The sequence below is a fragment of the Homo sapiens genome, chromosome 3 (assembly GCF_000001405.40).
Source record: "Homo sapiens chromosome 3, GRCh38.p14 Primary Assembly".
Classification (NCBI taxonomy): Eukaryota; Metazoa; Chordata; class Mammalia; order Primates; family Hominidae; genus Homo; species Homo sapiens.
This window is the reverse complement of record NC_000003.12, coordinates 151930189-151957545: the sequence shown is the minus strand read 5'-3', so window position 1 is coordinate 151957545 and position 27357 is coordinate 151930189. Positions and strand designations below refer to the sequence as shown.

The window sequence follows — 27357 nt, the reverse complement described above, 5'->3', positions numbered from 1 at the left end:
GAAGGCAGCTTGAAGATTATTTTAAAAAGGGGAGAGGGTAAAACAAAGTAAGGAAGTTAGACGAAGCCCTAACAGGCATGAAGGTATTGAATGATTCATGGGAACCAAAAAGGAAGAACAAACTAAAGAATACTACAAATGTAAGGTTTCAAAAATCAAGAGGTTTCAAAAATCAAGAGACCTTTGCATTTAATGACAAGGTACTGACCTAGCTCTTCGTGTTCTTCTGCCTTAAGGCAAGTATACTGTCTAGAAAGACACATTTATGAAGGTGAACTCAAAGTAGCCTTAATGAGAGAAAAAGAATTGCTTCCGTTTATCTTGAGACTGCACATTAAGGTGGTTCAGGAATTTCATAATTTATTGTACTCAAATGGTTATACTATATCAAACATGCAGCAAAAATATAAATGTAGACAAGGAAAACAGCACAACTAGGCTGTAGATAAAACAAAAAATATATGACAATTTTTTAAAAAATAAGGGAAAAAATAAGTAGAGATGAAAAAGGATAGACTTGCTTAACTTGGAGACATCCTACAGGTAATAGCGATGGAGTGAGACTCTCCCATAAGACGATAGTGACAAAGCCACCATAGAAGTTGGTTATATGGAACCAAGATCACTGTAAAAGCCAGGAGATGGCAGGGAGGGGTGGGGGGAAGAACAGAAGGTATGCTTAGAGCTCTGGTTTCCAGAGAGCTGAGAGCCTGGGGAGGTGAGAGGACAACTGGCTTCCTTATGACCAGTAACTGAAGCAAGGGTGAATGATGGCCACGATTCATCATGGGGCCGTGCCCTGAGCCACTATTTTAAGACTGGCCCTGGATTGGAAACCCTCAGATTTGAGCTACACCAAATCTGTTAACCAGCAATATGTGTGCAGATGGGTAGAGGTAGAATATATTTTAAAAAACCCACACACACAAAATACCCAAATACCTCCCCAAACAAATTTACCTACAAAACAAATATTACAAATACAAAAAGAAATTTAATGATAAGAATTAAATATAAATGGCTACAAAGTATAATAACCATTAGGGTGGCTACTATAAGAAAAATAGAAAATGACAAGTGCTAACCAAGATACGGAGAAACTGGAACTTTTCTGCATTACTGGTAGGAAAGTAAAATGTTGTAGCTGCAATCCAAGCATCTGTTGATGAATGAATACACAGACAAAATGTTACTACAATATGCATACAATAGAATAGTATTCAGCCCTAAAAGTAAGACAATTCTGACACATGCTACAACATGGAAAAACCATGAAGACATTATGCTGAGTGAAATAATCCAGTCACAAAAGGACAAATACTGTATGATTAGACTTAGATGAGTTACTGGAGTAGTCAAAGCCATTGAGACAGAAAGTAGAATGGTCGTTACTAGAGGCTGGTAGGGAAGGAGGAACAAGGAGTTAGCATTTAACGGATACTGAATTTCAGTTTGAGAAAACTAAAGTCCTCGAAATGCATAGCCATGATGGTGGCTCAACAATGTGAATGTACTTAATGCCACTGAACTGTACACTTAAAAATGGTTGAAAGGGCAAATATTATGTTGTATATATTTTGCTAAAATAAAAAAGAAAAAAGATCACATAGAAAACTAAATACAATAGTATCAAGTTATTCCAGGTAAAACAATATTGAACTGTCAGATAAAGTCTCATATAAGTGTAATGAGAATGCTGACACAGATACCTGGTGGGAATACATTTGTACTTATAATGTCAGCAGGACCCAAGGTCTTATTAGTTTTCTGTAACACCATGCATGATATATACATTTTACTGTTTCATATATATCACCTCATGGATACAAAAGGGCTGTTGCATTTCTAGAATCATTTCTACATTGAAGGCAGGAAAAAGGTAGAAAGAGGCAACAGGCTTTCTTTCAGTGACCTAATTTAATCAGGAAGGGAAGGCCTCTTTAAATTACATTCTGACACATTTCTCTCTCCATTGTCAATGCAAATGCCCAGCTTTAGATAATCATCAAGGGTAATGGGATGACCTCAACTGGTTTAGATCCATCATGATTTGTCGTATGGAGAGGTACCTAGCTTCCTCCCCTCCATCTCCTATCACTTTCTGGGAAATGAAGGTTATGTTGCATATAAGGAATAGGGAAATGGCAGTTGGGTATATAATAAAGAGCTGACACATACAGCAAGAAGAAAAGTGAACCCAAAATAAGATGTGAGATATAAGAAAAAACAACATATGAAGACATTGATAAATTGTACTGCTAAACCTTATATTTTGTTATGCAAAATCTACTTTATAGTGTTTGTTTACAAATATGAATAAATGAATACATAAATGAACAACTGAATTACTTTACAATCAAATAACAAGGGTCTGCTTAATTGGTAGTTAATATATGATAGGGTCCTCTTCATGTTTAGGAGGAAGACTGAAATATTAAATAACAAAGATTTAGTCAGAAAAAATATAGTTAATAAATGCTAAGAACTTAAATAAGCAAAGAAAAATAAAACAATGTTGTCTTTAGAACATGTCACTCCAAAAAAACAAAACAAAACAAAACAAACAAACAAACAAAAACACCCTAGAAGCAGAAATAAGAACAAAGGAGAGCAAAGAGAAAAAAATAACAGAAAATGTATCAGTTAAGAGGTAAAGATTATCGGCTTGGATAAATATAAAAGCTCAGTTATACTTAGCTGTAAGAAAGAAAAGTTGAAAAGAAGAATTAAGACACACTTGTTTTCTACCCTCAAGCCACGAATATTAAACGTTACTGATAGTGTTGAAACATCTTTACAGACTTTGCCCTGATTGCTTGCTCCTGCAATCCCCACCAGAGCTACAACTTTCCTAAAATGTTTGTTCAAGCTCCCTATGTATTTCTAGTGGACTTTTATTCATATGTCTATATCCCTGAACAACATGTTTATCATGTTCATATCTTTAAACTTCATTTGAATGGAAACACAGTTACCTAGTCTTCCGCAGTGTCTTGATAAACATTATGTTTGTAAATGTATCCATGTGGGGCTTCTTCGTTTTCATTGATAAATAGTATTCACTTTTCCCCTCCAAGTTTTTATTACTACAAACAATGCTGCTGTAAGTTTTCTTGTGCAAATCTCCTTGCCCACATATATAAGAAGTCTTTTGAGGCATATACCAAAGAGCGAAATTTGCTGGATTATAAGAGGGTGTTTATATATTTAACTTTACTAAATTTCATCAAATTGTGCTCCATTGCAGTGATGAGAATTCCCATTAATTTGCATTGTTCTGATCCTTGTTATTTTGGTATTGCAAGACTGCTTAATTTTTTTCAGCATTATTGGTGTAATTTCAAATTGTAATTTTAATTAGCAGTTACCTACATTTCAGTGAGTTTCTTTGAGCATCTTTTGTGCTATGTTTGTTGGCCATTTGGTTTCCCTATTTCACAAATTTTCTATTCATACCTTTTGTCCATTTCTTCTCTGGTTTGTGTGTTTGTGTGTATTTTCTGATTAGTAGAAGTTCACTATAATTGTGCATAATAATTCTATGTGGGATATATGCATTTCAAATAACTCTTCCCATTTATCTTTTCACTTTCCTTGTGGGGCCCTTTTTGAGAAAATAAACTATTTTTTACAGAGCACTTTTTTTACAGAGCAGTTTTAGTTTCAGAGAACAATTGAGTGGAAGGTACAAAGATTTTCCACATATCCCCTGTTCCCACACAACATACCTTATCAACATCCATTTTTTGTTGATTTTTTTTGAAGAATAAATTTTGTTTTTTGAGACGGAGTCTCGCTCTGTCAGTTGCCCAGGCTGGAGTGCAGTGGCACAATCTCGGCTCACTGCAACCTCTGCCTCCTGGGTTCTAGCGATTCCCCTGCCTCAGCCTCCTGAGTAGCTGGGACCACAGGCGCCCGCCACCACGCCTAGCTAATTTTTGTATTTTTAGTACAGACAGGGTTTCACCTTGTTAGCCAGGATGGTCTCGATCTCTTCACCTCGTGATCTGCCCGCCTCAGCCTCTCAAAGTGCTAGGATTACAGGCGTGAGCCACCGCGCCCGGCCTAAAATTTCTTAATGTAAGCATCATCTGGTTTATAAATCTTTTCTTGCATGGATATTCCTTTAGAGTCTTAAAAACACAAGATCATAAAAATACATTGTCATATTTTCTTCAGAAGGTTCTAGGTTTGTTGTTTTATGTTTAGACTCTTTGGTACAGCTGGAGCAATGGCCAATGCTGAGTTCTTATTTTGGCAGACAGTATGAGCACAAAAGTAAAGCCTTTAACAGCAATTTTTTGGGGGGGAATAGACCCTCCAGCATCTTACTATCTGAGTCCAAAATATTGCAGACCTTAGCAAGCTGCTCTCCCCTTCCTTACCCATGTCAGCTTCCTGAGTGCAAGTTTTTATTCCCTCATAGACCCACAGCCCTTCTCTCCCTCAGTATCTGATAAGTGACTGCTTTTGGGATGGGCCCCTCTTTACCTCAGAAAAAATGGGTATACCACCCTTCTAAAAAATATTGTATGGCCGGGCGCGGTGGCTCACGCCTGTAATCCTAGCACTTTGGGAGGCCGAGGTGGCTGGATCACGAGATCAGGAGTTGGAGACCAGCCTGACCAACATGGTGAAACCCCGTCTCTACTAAAAATACAAAAATTAGCCGGGAGTGGTGGCGCGCGCCTGTAGTCCCAGCTATTCGTGAGGCTGAGAGGCAGGAGAATTGCTTGAATCCGGGAGGCAGAGGTTGCAGTGAGCCGAGATCGCGCCACTGCACTCCAGCCTGAGTGACAGAGCGAGACTGTCTCAAAAAAAACAACGACAAAAAAATTTTTTTTTTTAGTCAGAGATTCTCAGGTCCTTTTCTGATCTTGCACCTTGATTTCTCTGGCAATTTTATTCATCGAGAGAGAGAGACAAAGAGGGAGGGAGAGAGAGTAAAATAAACTCATGATCGTAACTTAAAAGTTAGAATAGTGTGTTTACTCTACAACCCATAGGTACTTTGGCCAGCCAATAAATAAGCAATGCTTGTACTCAGTCCACCAACATTTTACTGGTTGTTATTTTCTTACTTAATCTCCCAAATCTACAAATATTAATGTAGAAAAAAATTCCTGTTAGAAAGTTGGGTCCCATTTTTATAACTCAATATGGCTATAGATAGTAAAAAATAAAGCCCTTAAACTTAGCTCCCCAAACTGCTTTTTAAAAAATTCCTTTCTACTCACCTAGCTCAGTACTGGGCTACCCTATACCCCCTCACGTGACTCACAACCATCCAAAGAACGCTCATATGCCAAAGGGCCTTTTGCAACATACACAGAGGTAGATACAGTTGTGGATGTTCTTGCTTAGACCATATTATTTTGCAGGGGTTCAGTGGGAATATCCAAGCTGAGGATTATAGAGCTAGAAAAGAGAGCATAACATATGAGAATAAATTCTTAAATTCCTGTCATCAGGAAGTCTTTACCAGAAAGAGGTAGGGAAAGTAAGTAGTGAAAGTGATTTCAAACTCTGCTCAAATGGAAAATCATATTTCATTTTTAATAGTTTCTGGAGATGAAAGGCAAGCATGGAATAAACTGTCCTGATGTGTTCCATTCTACAACCCAGGCCAGTTTGTTCAGGGTCAAACAGTTTATCAGAATGCTAGGATTCACACTTGGTTTTATAAACTTAGATCAGATAAACCTAACTAACGCCTTTTATAATCAAGGTTTGTGCACCAAGAGCAGAGAGTAAAAAGGGAACTGATGAGGATGACACTGATTTGGAAGTAAAGTCTCTGGAATAACAGGAGAGGAGACCTGGGGAAGGGGAATTGAAAAGAATCCTCAACTCTTTTCATTGAAATGAAGAAAATATCAGAGTTATGGCGAGGATAAGTCAACAATGTGAATCTTTGGGATAAATGCAGCAAGCTGATGTTGCAGTACACAATTTGGGAATATCTGCTAGGCAGGGAATCTGTTTTGAAATAGATTTCAAAACTCATTTTGGATTCACTTTATGTTCTCCCCATCCTTTGCATCTCTTACAATTCAGTGTTAGCAATTACATTCCAGAAAGCAGAAAAGAAATATAAGTTGAGTGAAGACACTTGGAAGGCAATTTCATAAAGGATTCAGAAGGAACCTTGTAGGAAAAAATACTGCTCTGGAAGAGATATGATAGGAACTGAAGCTGTTTTCTTAATTGGCCTGGAGAGCTCTCTTACGACACAGGAACCTCCTGAAAGTGCAGATAAAAGACACTTAGTTCTGTTATTGCTTCTGTGAGGATGAATTTGGTGAGGTGACAATAGTTACAGGAGGAGGAAAAGAGATCTTTTTACATAGAATAAACTAAAATAAGGCTGAACAGCAAACTAACTCTTGGGATGTGAAAGCTTAGTCATATTGAAAACAGTTCCCGTTGGAAGGAAATTGATAAATATCCACATCTGAATCTTTGGAAGAATTTGGATTATGAAAAGATACAACAAATTACCATTGGGGAATGAAGGGGTAATTTGCAATCTTTTGTTGATAGAGCTAAATTTTCAATGAAGGGAAATGAAGCCAAGTTTAAAGGGAGAAACGTTATTTGGTGGTTCGGGCAGCATTTCATAAATATATATAATAACTTAAATGGGAATTGAAGAACAGCAAAAGAGTAAATGAGAATTTAAATGTTAATTACTTATAATAATTACTTGTAATAAACTAGAAGATGAATTTGAGATTTCATATTTTTGTTTTACTGATTTTAAGGTTCATACAGCTAAAATATAGTAATACTCTGAGCTTTCAGTTAAAAATCTCTCTAAAGTATACATACAATATATTCTATGACAGAAATACACATTTACTTAAATGTTTCTTCTCATATTAGGTAGACAGAAACACTTGATTTCAGACAAGAATAACTGTTTATACATATGCAGCTGATTCAGATAATATTTGTAAAACATATTCTGAGATACGCAGACTGTATTAATTTACTAACCGAAATGTTTCACCATGACAAGGGAAAGACTCTACAGAGATTACAAAAATGATTTTCTTATTTTATTGTCTGAAAAAATCAAAAGATTAAAAACCTATTAAACAGAAGTCTGGGTTCAATTTTTGCCTTAACTGGTTCACAAGACATTTTTCAGAGAGCAAAGAATTGAAAATGGAGAAACATACTGTAATTTTTTGTGTCCTTGTGTTCTCATCATTTAGCTCCCACTTATAAGTGAGAACATGAGATATTTGGTTTTCTGTTCCTGTATTAGTTTCTTAACAATAATGGCCTCCAGCTCCATCCTGTTCCTGCAAAGAACATGGTCTCATTCTTTTTATGGCTGCATAGTATTCCATGGTGTATATGCCACCTTTTGTTTATCCAATCTGCCATTGATGGACATTTAGGGTGATTCCATGTCTTTGCCATTGTGAATAGTGCTGCGATGGACATATGTGTGCATGTGTCTTTACGGTAGAAAGATTCGTATTTCCTGGGGTTTATACCCAGTTATGGTATTTCTGTTTTTAGCTCTTTCATGAATCATCAAACTGCTTTCCATAATGGTTAAACTAAGTTAGACTGCCATTAACAGTGTATAAGTGTTCCTTTTTCTCCACAACCTTGCCAGCATCTGTTATTTTTTGACCAATGATAGCTATTCTGACTAATGTGAGATAATATCTCATCGTGGTTTTGATTGGCATTTCTCTAATGATCAGTGATGTTGACTTTTTTTTTATAAGCTTTCTGGCTGCATGTATGTTTCCTTTTGGAAAATATCTGCTCATGGTCTCTGCCCACTTTTTAATGGGGTTGTTGGTCTTTTTCTTGTAAATTTGTCTAAGTTCCTTAAAGATGTTGGCTATTAGACCTTTGTCAGACGCATAGTTTGCAAATATTTTTCTCCCATCCTGTAGGTGGTCTGTTTATTCTGTTGATAGTTTCTTTTGCTGTGCAGACACTCTTAAGTTAAATTTGATCCTATTTGTCAAGTTTTTGCTTTTGTTGATTGCTTTTGGTGTCTTTCTCATGAAATGTTTGCTCATTCCTGTGTCCAGAAATGTACTGTCTAGGTTGTCTTCCAGAGTTTTTATAGTTTTGAGTTTTACATTTAAATCTTTAATCCATCTTGAATTGATTTTTATATATAGTATAAGGAAGGGGTTCAATTTCATTCTTCTGCATATGAGTGTCCAGTCATCCCAACATAATTTATAGAATTGGGAGTCTTTTCCCTATTGTTTTTTTTTTTTTTTGGTCAGCTTTGTTGAAGATCATATGGTTGTCGGTGTACAGCCTTATTTCTGGGCTCTCTATTCTGTTCCATTGGTCTATGTGTCTGTTTTTGTACCAGTACCATGCTGTTTTGGTGACTCCAGCCCTGTAGTACAGTTTGAAATCAGGTAGCATGATGCCCCCAACTTTGTCCTTTTGCTTAGGCTTGCTTTTGCTATTCAGGCTCTTTTTTATTCTGTATGAATTTCAAAATAATTTTCTTTAGTTTTGTGAAGAATGTCATTGGTAGTTTGATAGAAATAGCAACAAATCTGTAAATTGTTTTGTGCAGTAAAAAAGAAAGAAATTTTGCCAAAATTGTTTTCCTTGATTGTGGCTAGGACAAACAAAATTAATTTATGTTTGTCCTTTGTGATAAAAAGTCAAAACGTTTTTTACTATTTAGAAGAAAGAAAAATTAGAACCCAAATATTACCAACTAAGCAATTATTCTGGAAATATAAAAAGAATTCACTATTGAAACATACATAGAAACTTCTGTTTCCAACTGTGTGGTGAGTTAGTTTCTCAGATAGACTCTTTCAATGATAACAACTCAAATGCCAGATAAATTAAAATTTAAAATCCTAAATGTGGAGTTGAACTTGCAGAAGTAAAAAATACCCAAGCGAAAATCCATTTGAAGGCTGAAACTTTGAAAGCTAATAAATGCAGGTGGCTTTTAAATAACAAAAAAATTGAACTTTCCTTTTTATGGCCTTCAGGGCATTGGAGACTGGAAACAAAGCTTCTATTTCAGCAAGCTGAGAAATCTGAAAGGAGATGTAACTAACAAACCCTTCTTCCCTCAGTTTCAAAATATATTGATTATCTTGAATCTAGGCACTGAAAGGGAAGAAAGACTTAAAAACGAGTCCCTAAACCCTCTTTTTGACCAAACTTTAGCAGCTCCTGTGAATCCTCTTTTGAACCAGGCCTCATCCTAGGACCCTGTCTTTGATTCTTGTTCTTTGAATCCAGTTTTAGCAAGAATTCTTCATTCCTTTTTTCCCTGTTCCATGAGTCCAGTTTTTAAATCCTGCCAAGTCAATTTAGAGAGAATCCTCCACTCTTCATACCTGGTCACCCTGACCTGTTATCAGTAAGAACCCTGTTAAGACTGTTTAGCCAGAATTCCCTACCTTTGATGTCTCCTCTTAGCAATTCTCCATTCATGACCCCCTCACTCTTCTCATAGGCTATAGACACCTTGTTGCTTTTGCTGTATTCAGAGTTGAACCCAATCTTGACCACCTATTACAATATTCAGGACATCGATTACAATAGCTCTGATAAAGTCTTCCTTATAGTTTTAACAAGTGTCAGAATAAGTTTTTCTTTAACACCCTACAGTATTATAACTACAAGTCTAATCTTATATCAATTTGAAGTTAGAATTCATATTACTTATGTGATATGAACAAATTCAAGTATTTAACTTTAAGTGATCTTAAATTGTTAATGCACTCAGATAACTTCCAGAAATGAAGAGAAATCCTCTCAGGAAGAATCTACCTTAATCCCAGTCGTGGAAAACCATGGAGATAGAAGCTACGGAAAACCTCAAAAACCATAGCTCTCAGGGAGGAGCACCTTTGATGCCATCGGGTGTAGCTGCATTTTCAAAAGGATGGGGCAAATGCCATTGCTTTTTATATCTTTCAGTCCTTGCTCCAGTAGAGCGAGAATGTGTGCTCCATCATAGAAATGCATTACAGAGTTTGACAAGAGTAATTTCATGAGACAGCCCACCAAAAAATGAAGCCACAGGAAGCCAAAGTACTGGGGAGACTGTGGAGAGAAAGGAGCTCAGAAAAGTGACCCAAGAAAGTCCTTTAGGAATGATAGGACTTTCATGTAACCTGCATATGCATAGATCTGACCCCAAACAGCACATCAAAGATCTATGAGCACTGAACTAACAGATAGTCTAGGTCCCAGACTGAACACTGTGGAGTGCATACCCAGGAGAGAGCAAACAGCACAACAAAGGTTTGGAACACTGAACTAACACTGGAACCACAGTCTATAGGGGGTGGGTTAGAACTTGTGGGAGGCTGAGGAGGGTGGATCACTTGAGGTCAGGACTTCAAGACTAGCCTCACAAACATGGTGAAACCCTGTCTCTGCTAAAAATACAAAATGAGCCTGGCACGGTGGTGTACACCTGTAATCCCAGCTACTTGGGAGGCTGAGGCAGGAGAATCACTTGAACCCAGGAGGCAGAGGTTGCAGTGAACCGAGATCATGCCACTGCACTCTAGCCTGGGCAACAAGAGTGAAACTCCATCTCAAAAAAAGAAACAAACAAACAAAAACTTGTGGCCCAAACCTACTGAAACAAAATATTAACAATCTGCGTAGAATTTAAACAAGACTCCAAAGAATCTTGAAGTAATTCACAAAATGTCAAAAATGACTCAGCATAGAAAGAAGCACAAACATTTCAATTCACATGAGAAAAGACAATCAACAGACAGCAAAGCTGAGATGACAATAGATGTTGGAATTAGCTGACAAAGACTTTAAAGTAGCTATTATACAAATGTTTCCAGAAGCAATTGTGAACACTCTTGCAACAAAGGTTAAACAAAAAGCTTTAGCAAAGAAATCAAAGATATAAAGAACCAAACTGAAATTTTAGGATGGGAAAATACAATAAACACCTTCTTCTATCCTCCAATAAAAATCTCACTGAGTTCAACAGCAGGATGGAGATAACGGAGCACAGAGTCAGTGAACTTGAAGACGGATCAGGAGAAAAAACTCATTTAACCGAAACAAGACAAAGAAAACAACTTACAAAAGAACAAAATCTCAAGGACCAACAGGATGATACCTGAAGATCTAACCATGCCACTGGAGTTTCAGAAAGATAGGGTAATGATGAAAAAAATAAAAAATAATGACAGAAATCTTCCAAACTTTATTTTTTAGAAAATGTATAAAAGAAGTGAAGCAAATCCCAAATAGGATAAACTCAAAGAAATCTATGCACAGACATATCATAATAAAACTGCTGAAAACCGAAGACGAAGAAAAAGTGCTTAAAGCAGCCAAAGAAAAGTGACACATTAACTATAGGGGAAGAATGATTTAGAAACTTCAATACTTCTCATCAGAAATCATGGCAGACAAGAAGAAATGCTGAAAGAAAAAACTGTCAATTCCTAATTAAGAAAATGTTTTATTATGTTTAATCCAGAATTTTATATCTAAATGAAATATCCTTCAGTAGTGAAATTCTCACTACTGAAGGATATTTCATTTAGATAGGATATTTCATTTAGATATAAAATTAAAAATGTCCTCAGATGAAAGAAAACTGAAAGAACTTGTATCTATCAGTCATGCTTTAAAAGAATTTCTAAAGGAAGGTTTTTAGATAGAAGGGAAATTGTTTCTGAAACAAAACACTTGAAACTCCAGGAATTAAGGGAGAAGAAAAGAAAGAGCAACATTTCAATGAAAAGTTGTCATAGTTCATTTGGGCTTCTCTAAAGAAATACGATAAACCAGGGTAGGTTATAAACAACAGAAATTTATCTCTCAGAGTTCTCAAGACTGGGAAGTCCAAGATCAAGGGGTAGCAGATTTAGTGTCTGCTAAGAGCTTGTTTCCTGGCTCATAGATGGCACCTTCTTAGTGTATCCTCACATGATGGAAGTGGCAAACAACCTCCCTTAAGCCTTTTTTTAAAATAAGAGTACACTAATCTCATTCATAAGGGCTCTACCTTTGTGATCTAATCAAATCCCAAAGATCCTACCTCTTAAAACCATCACCTTGGGGGTTAGGATTTTAACATGTGAACTTTGAGGGGAAACAAATATTCAGACCAAAGCAAATGTAATAAGTTAGTCTTCTTATCTTGAATTCTTTTACCCAAAAGAAGACTTAAAATAGGAAACAGAGTAATATAAAATAAGGGGAATAAGTACAAAACCAGAAAATAAAATGATAGTCCTAAATCTAAACCCATCAATAATTAATTTAAACATAAATGGTCTGGACACACCAATTAAAAGACAGAGATGGTTGGAGTGATTTTAAAAATTACTTATATGCTGCAAAGAGAGCCACTTAAAATATAGTTACACAGATAGGTTAAAAGTAAAATGATGAAAAATAATATACCACATATATTAGTCCTTTTCACACTGTTAATAAAGATGAGCCCAAGACTAGGCAATTTACAAAAGAAAGAGGTCTAATAGACTTACAGTCCCACATGGGTGGGGAGGCCTCACAATCATGGCAGAAGGCAAGGAGGAGCAAGTCACATCTTATGTGGATAGCAGCAGGCAAAGAGAGAGCTTGTTCGAAGAAACTTACCCTTATAAAACCATCAGATCTTGTGAGACTTATTCACCATCATTAGAACAGCACGGGAAAGACCTGCCCCATGATTCAATTACTTCCTACTGGGTCCCTCCTACAACATGTGGGAATTCAAGATGAGATTTGGGTGGGGACACAGCCAAACCATATCACTACACAAACACTAATCAAACAAAAACTGGAATGACTATGTTAATATCACAAAGCAGACTCAGAGCAAAGATTACCAGGAATAAAGATGGACATTACATAATAAAAAGGCTTAATTTACCAAGAAGACATAAGAATTATCAATTTATATGAGCTAAGCCACAGATCTTCAAAACACACAAAGCAAAAACCTACAGCATTGAAAGAAAAAATAGACATATCAGCAAATATAGTTGGACAGTCAACATTTCTTTCTTAGTAACAGAAAGGACTAGTTAACAGAGTTAGCAAGGATATAGAAGAACAAAACAATGCCATCAACCAACTTTATCTACTTGATTTTTATAGAATTCTATCCAAAGATAGCAAAATACACATTATTTTGAGGGACACATGGAATATTCATCAAGATAGATGATATTCTGGCTCATAGTCACACATTAACAAACATAATTGAAATCACACAAAGTATGTTCTCTGACCATAATGGAATTATACTAGAAATAAATAACAAAAGAAAAAAACAAAACCTTCAAATATTTGAAAATTAAAGCTCATGATTCAAAATAATATGAGTCAAAGAAAATGTTTCAAGAGAAATTAGAACACATTTTGAATGAAAATGCAACATAACAAATTAAGTCAAATTTAGTTAAAGCAATGCACAAAGGGAAGATGTGTAACAGTAAATACATACATTATAAAAGGAGGAAAGTCTCTGTAATCTCAATTTCCGGTATAAGAAACTATAAAAACAATAGTAAAATAAGAAGCAGAAGAAAATACAGTTATGTGTCACAACAGTATTTTGGTCAATGATGGACTGCATGTACGACAGTAGTCCCAAAAGATTATAATGGAGCAGGAAAATTCCTATCACCTAGTTGACATTGTAGGTCCCAGTGCATTGCATGAACTTTGCTATATCTGTGTATCTAAACATAGATACACAAGTGCCATTCTGTTGTGGTTGCCTGCAGTATTCAGTAGAGCAACATACTGTATAGGTTTGTAGCCTAGCAGCAATAGGCATACCATATAGCCTAGTGCTATATCAGATGTGCAGGAGGTCATACCATCTAGGTTTGTGTAAATACACTCTGATGTTTGTACAACAAAATTGCCTAACAATGCATTTCTCAGAGCATATCCCTGTCGTTAAGCAATGCATCTTGTAATACATATAAGAACAGAAATTGTTAAAATTGAAAACAGAAAACAATAAACAAATTTTTCTTTTTCTTTTCTTTTCTTTTTTTTTTTTTTTTTTTTTTGAGACGGAGTCTCTCTCTGTCCCCCAGGCTGGAGAGCAGTGGCCAGGCCTCAACTCACTGCAAGCTCCGCCTCCAGGGTTCACGCCATTCTCCTGCCTCAGCTTCCTGAGTAGCTGGGACTACAGGCGGCGCCACCACGCCTGGCTAATTTTTTGTATTTTTAGTAGAGACGGGGTTTCACCGTGTTAGCCAGGATGGTCTCGATCTCCTGACCTCGTGATCTGTCCACCTCCGCCTCCCAAAGTGCTGGGATTACAGGCGTGAGCCACCGCGCCTGGCCAATGAACAAATTTTTTAAATTGTGCTTTAAAAAAAAAAAAAGCAAGACCAATAAACTTAATAAATATCTACAATGATTAACAAAGAAAAAAATAGAGGATGTAAATTACCAATACTAGGAAAGAGAGAGAGGATTTCGTTACAAAATCCAAAGATATCAAAAGAATAATAACAGAGAATTTCAAGATAAATAGGCAACTCAACTAGTCCTCTGTCTATTAAAGAAGCTGATTTTATACTTAAAAGTTCCTAAAAAAGAAGTATCCAGAACAAAAAAGCAAGACAAAGACTAACATGTTTAACAATTCAAAAGAAACACAAAATTCTCAATACAGTGGTCTCCCCCTTATCCTCAGGGGATATGTTCCAAGATCCCTAGTGGACGACTGAAACTGAGGATGCTACTAAACCGTGTGTGTGTGTGTGTGTGTGTGTGTGTGTACACACTATGTTTCCCTCCCATAAATACATACCTATGATAAAGTTTAATTTACAAAGTAGGCAGGGTAATATATTCACAACAATAACTAATAATAAAATAGAATAATTAAATGTTATGCTGTAATACAAGTTAGGTGAATGTGGTCTCTTTCTCTCTCTCAAAATATCTCATTGTACTCTACTCACTTACATTCAAACTATGGAATATGAGAAGATGCCTAACTTCACTAGCAATAAAAAAGCAAGTTAGAACCACAAGAGTTACCATGTCTTACCCAATCTTTAGGTGAAAAACTAAATCTGACACTGTCATGTTGGCATATATGTGGAGCAACAGGAACTTATGAATATTGGTGGTATGATGTATAAATTGGCCCAAACATTTAAAAAATAGATCAACATTTCATAGGAAGTTTGAATATGCTCATAATATATGATCTAAGGATTTCACTCCTGGAATAAATGTATAAAAATTAATAACATATTACAGGAAATAACCAAAATGTCCGACAATGGTAGAATGGAAAATACATTGTAGACTGGTTTTAAGGTGGAACACTGTTCAGCAGGGAAACTGAATGAGAGACAGTTACATGTGAGCTTTGCCCAGTGAATCTACCCAAACCTCATATTGAATGAAATAAGTAAGACATAGACATTATAGTGTAGGAATTCATATTCATAAGGTTCAAAAATAGGAGAAATATATCCATAAGTGGTAAAATCATTTAAAGCCGAAAGAACGTGGGATGATTATTATAAAAGTCAAAATGACGAAAACCTCTGTTTGTAGGATGGGAAGGTGATATAATTGGGAAGATGTATAGAGGATTTGGAAAAAACTGGCCAGTCTCTATTTCTTAACCTCAGCAGTGGACACATAGGTGCATCATTTACTAAAATTATTTAAGTCAATATATGCATTTATATATTGTTTTGTATGAATGATATTTTCTAATAAATGGAAAATTGCAAAGTGAAATAAACCACTTTTTATGAAATACCGAAACTGAATTACTGTGCTTGTCCAAAAAGCTGCATCCTGATGTGGGATATTTGGTTATAATTTTTCTCATTCTAACACATTCCAGTTTTGAACTCTTGACTCTTTGAAATGCCAAATGTAATTATAATGCGGTATTTTGTTTAAGCATGTGCAATTAAAAGGGCACCATTGAATTGTGGTAGTGTGTAATGTTTCCCAGCTGCTAAAGGTAGAGGACATAATTTTATGATGTGTATTTGCTCCTACCAAAGACTCTCTATTTTATAGATTTATATGATATTAGAAAGCTCTCCTTCATTCCACTACTCTCTATCTGGGTTTATAGGTTAGAAGTGAATTATAGTTTGGTACAGGAGTCAAAAGCCTGCCTTGAGAGTGCTGGCCCTTCATTTCAGGAAAACTACTCAGGGATAAAATGGCCAGTTTTTGAAGCCAGAATTGTCAGGGCATTATTGCTTATTTTATGCAGTTTTAAATATGCCAAGGACATATTTGGAGCTATGCTGAGAAGAAAGGGATCCCTGTCCAGTTAATTAAAACATGACTTTTAGCAAGTTGCAAGTAGAGAAGGTTCATAGGAACAAATTATAAATCTGCTTATTTATCTTCTACCACATTGTCTTTTACAGAATACTCTTTAACCCACTGTATTTCACATCTCAGCAGTTTCTTCTTCCCCATGATTCCTAAGACTTTTTTCTATCTTTGAAAACTAGAATGTAGCTCTTAGTTTTCCTTCCTGGATAGTTAATTCATACAAGATTCTGTGTGGATTACAGAATCAGACCCAGTTTTTAGAAGACTTGCTTCCTTGCTATCATACATCTTGTGTTATATAGTTTTCCTTGCTAGGTCATGTCTACATATAAATAGGCACATTTATCTGGAGATTTAAATTAATTACTATTTTTCATAAAATGGTATAAAATGAACTTTGACACTGGCTAGGGCTACTGAATTCTAGCCCTTTTCTATGTAAGTCATGAATATATTTGAAGACTACTGTATTTTTGCAGTGAAAATATAAGTAGCAGTGTTTTCACCATGTAATACAATAGTTACAGTGTTCCCTGAAAAGTCATGCTCTGTGCACTTAATTCAACTTGGCAGAAAACACCATTCCTTCTGTAGAAGATACTACTACTATGCACAGAAATTTATACAAGAAAGTATGTTTGCGGGCCTCTTGGAGCTAAAGTTTAAAACTTGCAACCTCAACTGGATCAAGTTTTCTGTGAATATTCTGTGGGAACGAAAAATATTTAGAGCAGAACTTTAACAATTCCTAAACAGACATCCATATACATGTGAACGTATGTGTGTGTATTTATTGATTTATTTTTATTTCATCCAAATAATTCACCTTGAACAACCAATTGAGATGAAATCAATCCATCAGATTTGAGAGATAACTAGCTTTCATCTTATACAGGCAATATATGGAGATAGGTCCCCAAATACCTAAATATTAAAATTTCCAAATCTTATTATTTTAGTGGTACTCAGCCATAATAAATCAAAGCAAGTGATTCTCTTATTACATTTTTGTTTGTTTTAATTATATTGAAATATTGTATATGCACATATACATATGCAAAGACCATTGATGTATAGCTTAACAGATCTTAACAAAACAAAAAAAACCCAGGACCCATATCCAGAGACAGAATAATACTGTATCTTAGAAGTCTCCCTCATATCCTCTTCCAGTCACACTCTGTCTCCACAAAAAAAGCTGCTGTCTGACTTTTATTACCACATTAATTTTTCCTGCCTTTGAACTTTATGTAAATAAAATCATAACATGTACTTGTTTGTGTCTTTCTTTCCTACTCAAGAATATGAGATTCATTTATGCTGTTTTATATATTTGTATTTTGCTCATTCACATTACTGTTTTGTATAAAATAATTATTTTGAGGTATAATCTATTATTAAAATACTAATTAGGCTGGGCATGGTGGCTCGCTCCTGTAATCCCAGCACTTTGGGAAATGGAGGCTGCTGATCACTTGAGGTCAGGGGTTTGAGACTAGCCTGGCCAACGTGGTGAAACCCCGTCTCTACTAAAAATAAAAAAGTTAGCCAGGCATGGTGGCACACACCTGTAATCCCAGCCACTCGGGAGGCTGAGGCAGAAGAATCGCTTGAAACCCAGGAGGCAGAGGTTGCAGTGAGCCGGGATCGTGCACTGCACTCCAGCCTGGACGACAGAGTGAGACTGTCTCAAAAAATATAAAATAAAATACCAATTTGAGGGAGACTGGTTCAAACCCAGTGGTAACAGGACATAAAAGGGATCAAAGGAGCTACAGGAAAGCTAATAGCTTCTTTTTCTAACTCCTCCATCCTGTATAGAAAAGATTTGTTTATTCCTTATTTTATATAAGTACAACTTGCTAACCGATTGTGCAACTGGAGCTCCTTATTTCTTATTTCAATTAGCGAAACCCTATTATCAGGCTATTGGCATTTACCTTATTCTAATTTAGCAGACCTTGGCGATTGGCTGACATAAAAGCCATTAACAACACCTTTGCCCCTTTCCACTTTCCTCTATAAAAGCTGAAAGGGCCAAATATATTATTTTCAATCATGTTACTACTAAAAGTGACCATGTGATACAGTCTTGACCAGTTAAATTTAAGAGGGAGTTTCTGGGGATTTCTGGAAAAACCTTTGCTTTTTTTACTAAAGATAGTAGCGTAAGAGGAGAGAAGCTTAATGACATTCTTTACCTCATCTTCCTGCCTTGCTGCTGGATATGATTCCTGGAACTTCAGCAGCCCTTTTGGGACCATGAAGCAATGAGCATGGAAGTGAAAAGGTAACACATCAAAGTGATCAAGTCCAAAGGTTATGGTAATCAAAGACTTTGATTATACTATTGTGATACTGAACACATTTTTAGACTTATTGTTAAGCAAAATAGAAATTTCCTTATAATTTAACCCCATTGTTAGAGCTTTCCTTAATTGCAGCCAAAAGTGTATCCGATATACCATTTATCTGGATATTTAAGATAGAGGCATGCACCTTAAAAATTGCATGAAATTATGCTGTATTTTATATTAGCTTCTTGAAAATCAACAACATCTTGATTAGAAGAGTAAAACTGAACTGTGCCTATCACACAGATGAATTCTGATGACTTATGAAACACCTGAAATGCTTTCAGTTGCTTGATTTCTTCAAAACAACACTCTTTATTTCTTGATATTGTAGACTTAACATGAGAAAACAATCAAATACTTTATATTTAAGCCCCTCCTGGTATACTTGGGAATTCTGGTGGTAGGTGCTAGCTAAGCACCTACCAGAAATCCCTTGAAGTCAATAGACTTCAAACATGATTATTATCTCAGCAGTCACAGAAAATATCCTTTTACATCTTCCTTCAAAGAGGCAGACTACTGTCATTATAGTTCTTAAATGTTTATTGTCTCATTAAATTACCAATTTCCCATAGACTTTTGGTCTGCAGTTTCGGAGTTAGGATTCTGGGAGAGAATGGTGGAGATAGTAATACAAGAGTAGTCCTTTGGCTCTTCGTGTTGAAAACTGATTACCTCTTAATTTGCAGGTAATTATCCTTATTTGTACCAAACATTCCTCTATCTCTCACTTGCTGATTTTCTGTGGCTGCATCTAGGTCAGCATAAATGACTTTAGGCTAAGTTTCTTTTGATTTAAAACAAATCTAATATCTTAAAGTTAGATAGCTGTTATCCAGTGGGTATTGCATGAGCATTGGCAACCTGTCATATAACACAACATCTTATTAACAACTTGTATTTCCTATACTTTTGTGTGTGGAGACCATATGCTATGTTGAATTGGTTTAAACAATGTAGTCAGAAAGGCTGCCCTGAAATTTTATTTTTGGTAATACATTAGTAGAGAAGTTGAGGGATTACGAGAAAGTTTATGTTAAAATTCTTGTTATGCTTCTTTGGAGAAGGACTATTTTTATATAATTAAGAGGCCAATTATTGAATGTTTCTATTCTTTTTGTACGCTATAGCAAGAAAATTAGGGAGTTAGGGTTTAAAGAACAAATGTATGGCATTTGTGAAGTTGAAAACAACCTCTGGATACTCAAATCTCCCGCTTTTGATCAGTCTCAACTCTTTAATGGACCTTATTCACTTAAGCTATAAATCACATTGTGGCATGAAAATAATGACAAGCATTTCAGAAAAGCCAGAAATGTGTAATTATGAGTATTTATTCTTTTTAAAGCACTAATTGTAAGCAGAGGGAAAGCACCAAGGAGCCCCAATCTAATATTTTTAATGTACATTTTTCATATCATATTAAAATTTTAGTGTTTTAATAAATGTAGGAAGATGAATGGGAAAAATGAAATTGCTTATGGAAATAAATGTACACAAATATGTACATTTTCTAAATGATGATTAATAATATAGTTAAAGCCCATGGACATGCAGTATTATTTATCAGACTACATCCAAGCAGGGTGGAAGCAAAAAACACTTATGCAGCATGTAAGCCAGCCTCTGACCAGCTTTGGCACCTAAACAGGAGTCATATTTTTGTAGGCATGAATGTGTTTTGAACAATGAATCAAATGTCTTCTGCACAGATAGGGTTTTATTTAACACCAGAACCATGTCTTTTTCTACTTACATTTCCTGGAAAATAAGTACAAATTTTGTAACCAGTCTATGAATAATTAAGTACCTTCTCATGAATGACAGACTTCAGAAGGTTCAGAATTTCAACCTGGGTAAACAAGTATATATTTGTATGTCTGTCTAGGTTTATGTGTACCTAAACTCCATTCCATAAACCATCTCACAAAAATGTTTCTGAAGCCCTCTCCTGCCTCCCACTTCCCACATTTCATGAAAAGATATGTGTGTGGAGGATGGTGGCTCTTCATAGGATTCTATTTAAGTGTTTCTGTCTTGAGACCAGTCACAAGGCTACTTTAGAAAGTAGAGCATTTTCTCAAGATGTTCCCCACATCAGTAACATTCTGTTTGAAGAAGAAAGTGCTTTTAGTTTATCGGAGAGATTATAGATACTTTTTACCAGTGAAAAGAGCCAAAAAATATTTTGATGATTGTGAACCAGGATAAGAAAAAAAGACTTCTATGTTCTATTAAAGGAGGAAGTAGAAGTGGAAACCAGTTATTGTGTGTATGGCGTGTGATGTGTCAGGTCAGGTAGCGGTCAGTCACAAGGTGCCTCACTTCTGGATGTCTGTTCCTCTTGTTTCATTCAGCATCTATTCTTTTTTTATTTCTTCAGTTATATCCAATTCAGCTAAATGAAAATGTTCAAACCATCTCTCACCCCCCTCACCCCATATACAACTAAGGTGGACAAAGAACAGATCACCCAGGGTTTCTTTTCAAGGCACAGAAGATACAGTGGGTCTTCAAATGGCCACTGAGGTGACTCTAGCATCTTTCAGTTAAAGACTCTCCATTTTTTCGGTTTCTCAGAGACTGGATGAGATAGAAACTACAGAGATAATAAGAACATTTAAATTCTGTGTATTGTTTAAAGATTATACAAAAGTAGTCATACTTTTTTTACTTAATATATAGAAATTTAGATAGATATATATAACACTCTCCCTTTTTAAAATATTTTATTTTTAATTATTATGAATACATAATAGTTGTACATATTTACCCTCCCTTTGAATTTTGATTTGTCAAGGAGATCTTGGGCTTTATTCTTCTCTTATGTGATTCACCTACAACTTGTTATCAGTCAATAGGTGGCTTACCATGCCTGGATAGGGCATCCTTGCCTGAATAGAGTCTAAACTGTGCAAATAAAAATTATAAATCAAAGATATGAGGGTATATTCTATTCAAACATATAACTGTACAAAAAGCAAATACATTTTTTCCTGTAAAAGTGCAGTGTAGTTGCCTTTTATGTGTATTTGACTTGCATAAATTTTTGTTACTACAAAATAACTTAAAAGTCTATTTATAAATTTTAAAATAATGTTAATTTGAAAATGATAGTGAATTATAATTGTGTTTGTACTGTTGCCCACAGTGGCACCACTATAAGTGTCAGACAGAAATACTGGCTCTGCTCTAACGAAGTAAGTCTTGGATTTTGCAAGTATTTATTATGCAAGAGTTTCAGAGATGTATATATTGCATAAAGTGTGGTGAATGTGACCAACTTGAAATTACACGATCTTTGTGAAAAGTTCAGACAATTCAAACATATAAAAAGGAGAAAGTAAAAACCCTCTGCTAAGCCACTAAGAAATACAATTATTGTCGCTAATTTTTTAAAACTCGCTAAAAGAGTTAAGCAAAATATTGACATACTTGTCTTATGACACAAAATTATAGTAAGATTAGAAGAAATACTGACATCAGTTAAACAATTTACACTTAAATGCTAATGCTCCATAACTATTGCTTATTTTGATTTATCTCCATCGTCACTCCCACTGTTAGATTTGAATAAAACACAACTCCCTGGATGCCTTCAGCCATGGAGTAGTCCTCAATCCTTTCATTCTCCTAAATACAAGGTCTTTTCTGCTATACTTCCAAAATACACCTCCACTTCTCCCGCTTCACCCCATGTCTGCCTCCACTGTTTTTGTCTAGTCCTCCATCACATTGCACTAGAGCCAAAGCCTCCTGAATAATCTCCTTCCATCTGCCTCTGCCCCTCTAACATTGCCTCTCCATTCAAAAGCCAACAGTGTTAATTAATGGTTGGGTTCATTTATCCAAGCATTCAAGGCCTTGAACCTATTTTGTGCCCAGCACTTTTTGAGGCACTAGAGACACATTCGTGAACAAAACAAAGTTCCTCTTCTCTTGCAACAACTTGTAGGTCCTGGAACTTCTCAGGCTTTCTTGGGCCTACAAGCTCTTGCTTGGGCCATTCCTTCTGCCCAGAATGCCTTTTCCTTTATTTCTTTACATGGCTTACTTGCACTAGTTCTTCAAGATTTAGCAAAATGGTCACATCTTTAAGGAAGACTTCTGTGACCCCCATCGTACCCCCTCAAGTCTGGGTTAAGTGCACATCTCTCTGCTTTCAGTTTCTTGTGCATTCCTGTTTCTCAGCACTCCCCCATACTGTATTATCATAGTGAATTACCTTCCTGTCTTCATGCATTAGACTGTGAAATCTTCCTAGGAAGGAACTCTGTGTTTCCAATCTTGTTTATTGTATCATTACCCTGTGACTCAACTTATCAGTTATTGGAATATGGTTGAGAAAAAGGGCCAGAGAATTTCAATTCAGCATCATAGAGTTATGAGGCAGAAATAATATATATAATGAAGAGTCTCAGCTTCAGAAATCTATTCTGGGCTTTTCCTTTTGTACCTTCTGAAAGGGTTTTAGAATTTGGTTGGTTGTGGATGACCCTATTTAAGGCAGGGGTCACGTAAGAGGGAACAGGTTTGCAGAGACTCAGAGACTGAAAATAAACATAGCTAATAGTGAACACAATTTTTTTTTTTAACATGGAGTCTTACTCTGTCACCCAGGCTGGAGTGCAGTGGCATGATCTCGGCTCACTGCAACCTCCACCTCCCAGGTTCAAGCAATTCTCCTGCCTCAGCCTCCCGAGTAGCTGGGACTACAAGCACTTGCCACCACGCATGGTTAATTTTTTGTATTTTTTTTAGTAGAGATTTAGTTTCACCATGTTAGCCAGGATGGTCTTGATCTCCTGACCTTGTGATCCACCTGGCTCAGCCTCCCAAAGTGTTGGGATTACAGGCGTGAGCCACTGTGCCAGGCCTGAACCCATTTTTAATGTTCCAACTGTGTGATTCTCTGCAAATTACATGAAAGCAAGACTAATACTTTTCATGACTATCCCAATAACTGATATCTAGATCATGCAATACCTAGTTGATTTTTCTACAGGCAGATGAAAATGTGGTGTGATGGCAGTGGTGAGTTATATCCATGAAGTGTGAGCTCTTACTTATTTCATTCACTGGCAATTTTCTGACTCTTCTTGAAGTTTGGGCTCATGTTAGGCCTATTCATCTTCATCTTTCCTGTTTCTCCAGGCATAGGAATGTGGTAGGGTGTGTTAGGCAGTGGTTTACATTCAAACAAAATTGGTCTGATCTCTTAGAGAATATGTTTTTCTGAGATTCTATCTGCAGAAAGAACATTAAATCCACATGTGTTGTTTTTCTCTTGTTGCCATTGACATTCAGCAGTCAACATCTGGTCTGTTTTTAGTTTTTTAAAATTTTTTTCTTTCTTTTTGTTTTAATGCAGCTTTTTTAGTTTTCTAAACTTACCCCAGATGCAAAGACTGTCTAAATGCTAACCTTTTCTCCAGGGCTTTATTTTGTAGTGTTGATGACTCAGCAAATGATTATTATCACTTTCCTCTGTAAAATGAAGGATGACAATCCTTACGTTCTCTTATGCATTTCTAAAGATGAATTGATTGCGTAAAACAAAATGCTTTAAAATTTAATTTTATGCTTTTCTAATTAATTAAAGGGGTACTTTAAAAATAATGGAAAAAAACCTGGCTTAAGGTATCAGAACAATAACATATTCTTCATATGGGCTCAGAATGAATTGGCTTGACTTTGCAAAAGTCAAGGGATTTTTTCTGCCAGTGCTGAGTTCGTTCACCTTCTTAATCTTGGTTTGAAATGTGCAATATTATGTGTAGAGTGGAGACTGGGGATCCCAGAACAGAACAGAATATCCCTTTGAGTTTTTTTTTTTCTTTTTTTTTTAAATTTTGCTCTGTCACCCAGGCTGGAGTGCAGTGGCGCAATCTTGGCTCACTGCAACCTCTGCCTCACAGGTTCAAGCGGTTATCCTGCCTCAGCCTCCCTATAGCAGGGATTACAGGTACGTGCCACCATGCCTGGCTAATGTTTGTATTTTTAGTAGAGACGGGGTTTCACCATATTGGCCAGGCTGGTCTTGAACTCCTGATCTTAAGTGATCCACCCGCCTTGGCCTCCCAAAGTGCTGAAATTATAGGCGTTAGCCACCGTGCCCGGCCCTTTGAGATTTAATATAAAGAATTAAAGATTAATATTAAGACTTGCCTTAGAGTGACTCATGGATTCAATAGTCGTCTCCTTCTAAAATAAAATAACCCTAGGTTTTTTAGAGGGAAATGATTAGAGGTTCTGACTAACCAAGTTTCAATTCAAAAGGGCCAAAATTTACTTTTTAACCTCAAGCCAAATGAACTTCTTGAATCTCAGCCGATTTTATTTTATAACTGGAAAGTACCGGGACCACCCTGAAAAAACAGATGATAATTTGCCTTTAAAGAAAAAAGGTTTATTAAATAAATATTGATTTCCAGGAGAAAAGCTCAAGACACAGATGTCCACACCCAACAACTAGCTAATCTACTTTAAATGCCAAAGATGAATACAAAAAAAGAAAAAGAAAAAGAAACTACAACTTTTATCTGCAATTTGACAGGTACATGAAATACTTTGACCAAATTTTAGTTGCCTGGAGCTTAGGTTCCAAATGCTTTACTTCTTTAGTTTAAAATATTTAATGAATTTTTAATTAAAATATTTGAATATAAAGTGCTATTTAAATAATTTTTTTTAGTGTTCTCATTCTCCTTTCCCTATGACTAATGATTGAGGAAATAGTCATTTTCACTCAAATATTATTTGAAGCTAGTTGTCTCCTTTACCTCAAAAATTAGCATTAACACTGCTGACTATTCACACCTTTTTCTTGTCATTTTTCATTAAGAACATTTAGCCTGAGAAGGCACAAGAGAAAATGTAAGATGATCTGCAGAGTGTTTGTACTTCAAGTTGATGTGTAATCTTTTCAAATGTTTTAATGTTAATATGTAAATAAATAATTCCCTGCATACATTTACTAATTTACATCAGAATATTTTAGAATTTTATTCTATGAAGCTGATTTGTTTATGCAGTGTTGTGAAATTGGTATTAATATACTAATGAGTAAGACCTAGTATGTACTGACTGATTGCTCCTATTGGTAAATTTTATATTTGGGGAAAATATAGTCAGGTGAAATACGTTTTGATAATAAGGTTGAGTTTTTCTCAGAAAATTAAAACAATGTTATCGAAAGATTTACTTACAAAACACCTTATTATCCAGATGTCAGATCCATAAATACTATAGAGATGTGAAAGTTATTCCCCTTACTCCCTAATAATGAAGGACCCCTCAGTAACTATGTAGTTGGTTATCTTTTTAAAGGGTTGAGTGGCAAGAATTGTCAGTGAATGTTGACTTCATTTTTCTCACTTTGCTTTCGGTGATAAGATGCCTTTTAAAGCAAACACTATTCAAAATTTGAGACAGAGTAAAATTATTAAGTCTGGTCTTCCAAATCATGTTCTCTCTATGAAAATATAGAGTCACAGGACTCCTGGCCCTGTGTTTTTATGAGTCATAGGATTTCTATGGTGAAAAATAAAAGATGAATAAACCTAAGATCTGAGAAAAATAAAAAGAACCCCTTCAATACAATGTTATGTCATGACCAGGCTCTCTGTTTTTGATATATGTATGTGTGTGTTTATAAAGAAAATTTTTCAAAAAATTATTTTGTCTCATCTTCAGAGCTTCTTGGGTTTGTAAAAAATTAGATTAGAGGAAGTAGCTGGCAAGTTAGGCATTAGAAACCAAAGCCTGCCAGTGCCAGACCAGGCATGGTGGCTCACACCTGTAATCCCAGCACTTTGGGCGAAGGTGAGAGGATCACTTGAGGCCAGGAGTTTGAGATCAGCCTAGGCAACACAGCATGACCTTGTATCTATAAAATATTAAATGAAAAAATATTTCCAGGTGTGGTGGTGCACGCCTGTAGTGCTAGCTACTGGGGAGGCTGAAGCAGGAGAATTGTTTCAGGAGTTTGAGGCTGCAGTGAGCTATGGCCATGCCACTGCACTCCAGCCTGGTTGACACAACAAAACCCTAGCCCTTAATTAAAAAAAAAACAAAAAAACAAAAAAGCCTGCCAGATGATGCCTATGATTTCAATGAAAATGACAACAGGAGTAACCTTAATGATGCAGAAACAATACAGTCCTGGCTTACCAAGTGCTCTTGTATCCACTTTGCTTTAACAGAGCAAATTTTTATGAATGAATCCAGATGGCTACTCCAGTTGCCTTCCAGCATATGGACAAAGGTGAGAGTGATTTTTTCTGATATGATATTCTGCTTTCTAGTTGGTGACAAATATTTTACCCCTTGAGATGAATTTTAAAATCTTTCCCTTGGCCAGGTGCGGTGGCTCACGCCTGTAATCCTAGCACTTTGGGAGGCCGAGGTGGGCAGATTGACTGAGTTCAGGAGTTTGAGACCAGCCTGGGCAACACGGTGAAACTCCATTTCTACTAAAAAAGAAAAAATTAGCCAGGCGTGGCGGCGTGCACTGATAGTGCCAGCTACTCGGGAGGCTGAAGCAGGAGAATTGCGAGACTCCATTTCCAAAACAAACAAACAAACAAACAAACAAAAAAACCCATTTCCCTTTCTGGATCAGAGCACAAATGATACAATTTTTAAAAAATACCTTGGTTTTCTTTCTTGTCTGTTTGCACAAACCTGCTTT

At 36.0% G+C, this 27357-nt stretch overlaps 1 long non-coding RNA gene across 1 annotated transcript in view; it reads left to right on the top strand.

Moving 5' to 3' along the window:
- LOC107986047 (uncharacterized) overlaps window positions 1-26994 on the top strand; it is a 38948-nt gene extending 11954 nt beyond the window's left edge. The window contains exons 2-3 of the long non-coding RNA XR_001740567.1: window positions 25100-25221; window positions 26870-26994. This is a non-coding gene — a long non-coding RNA (uncharacterized LOC107986047). The remainder of the gene's footprint in view (window positions 1-25099; window positions 25222-26869) is intronic.
- Window positions 26995-27357: the final 363 nt, after the last annotated feature.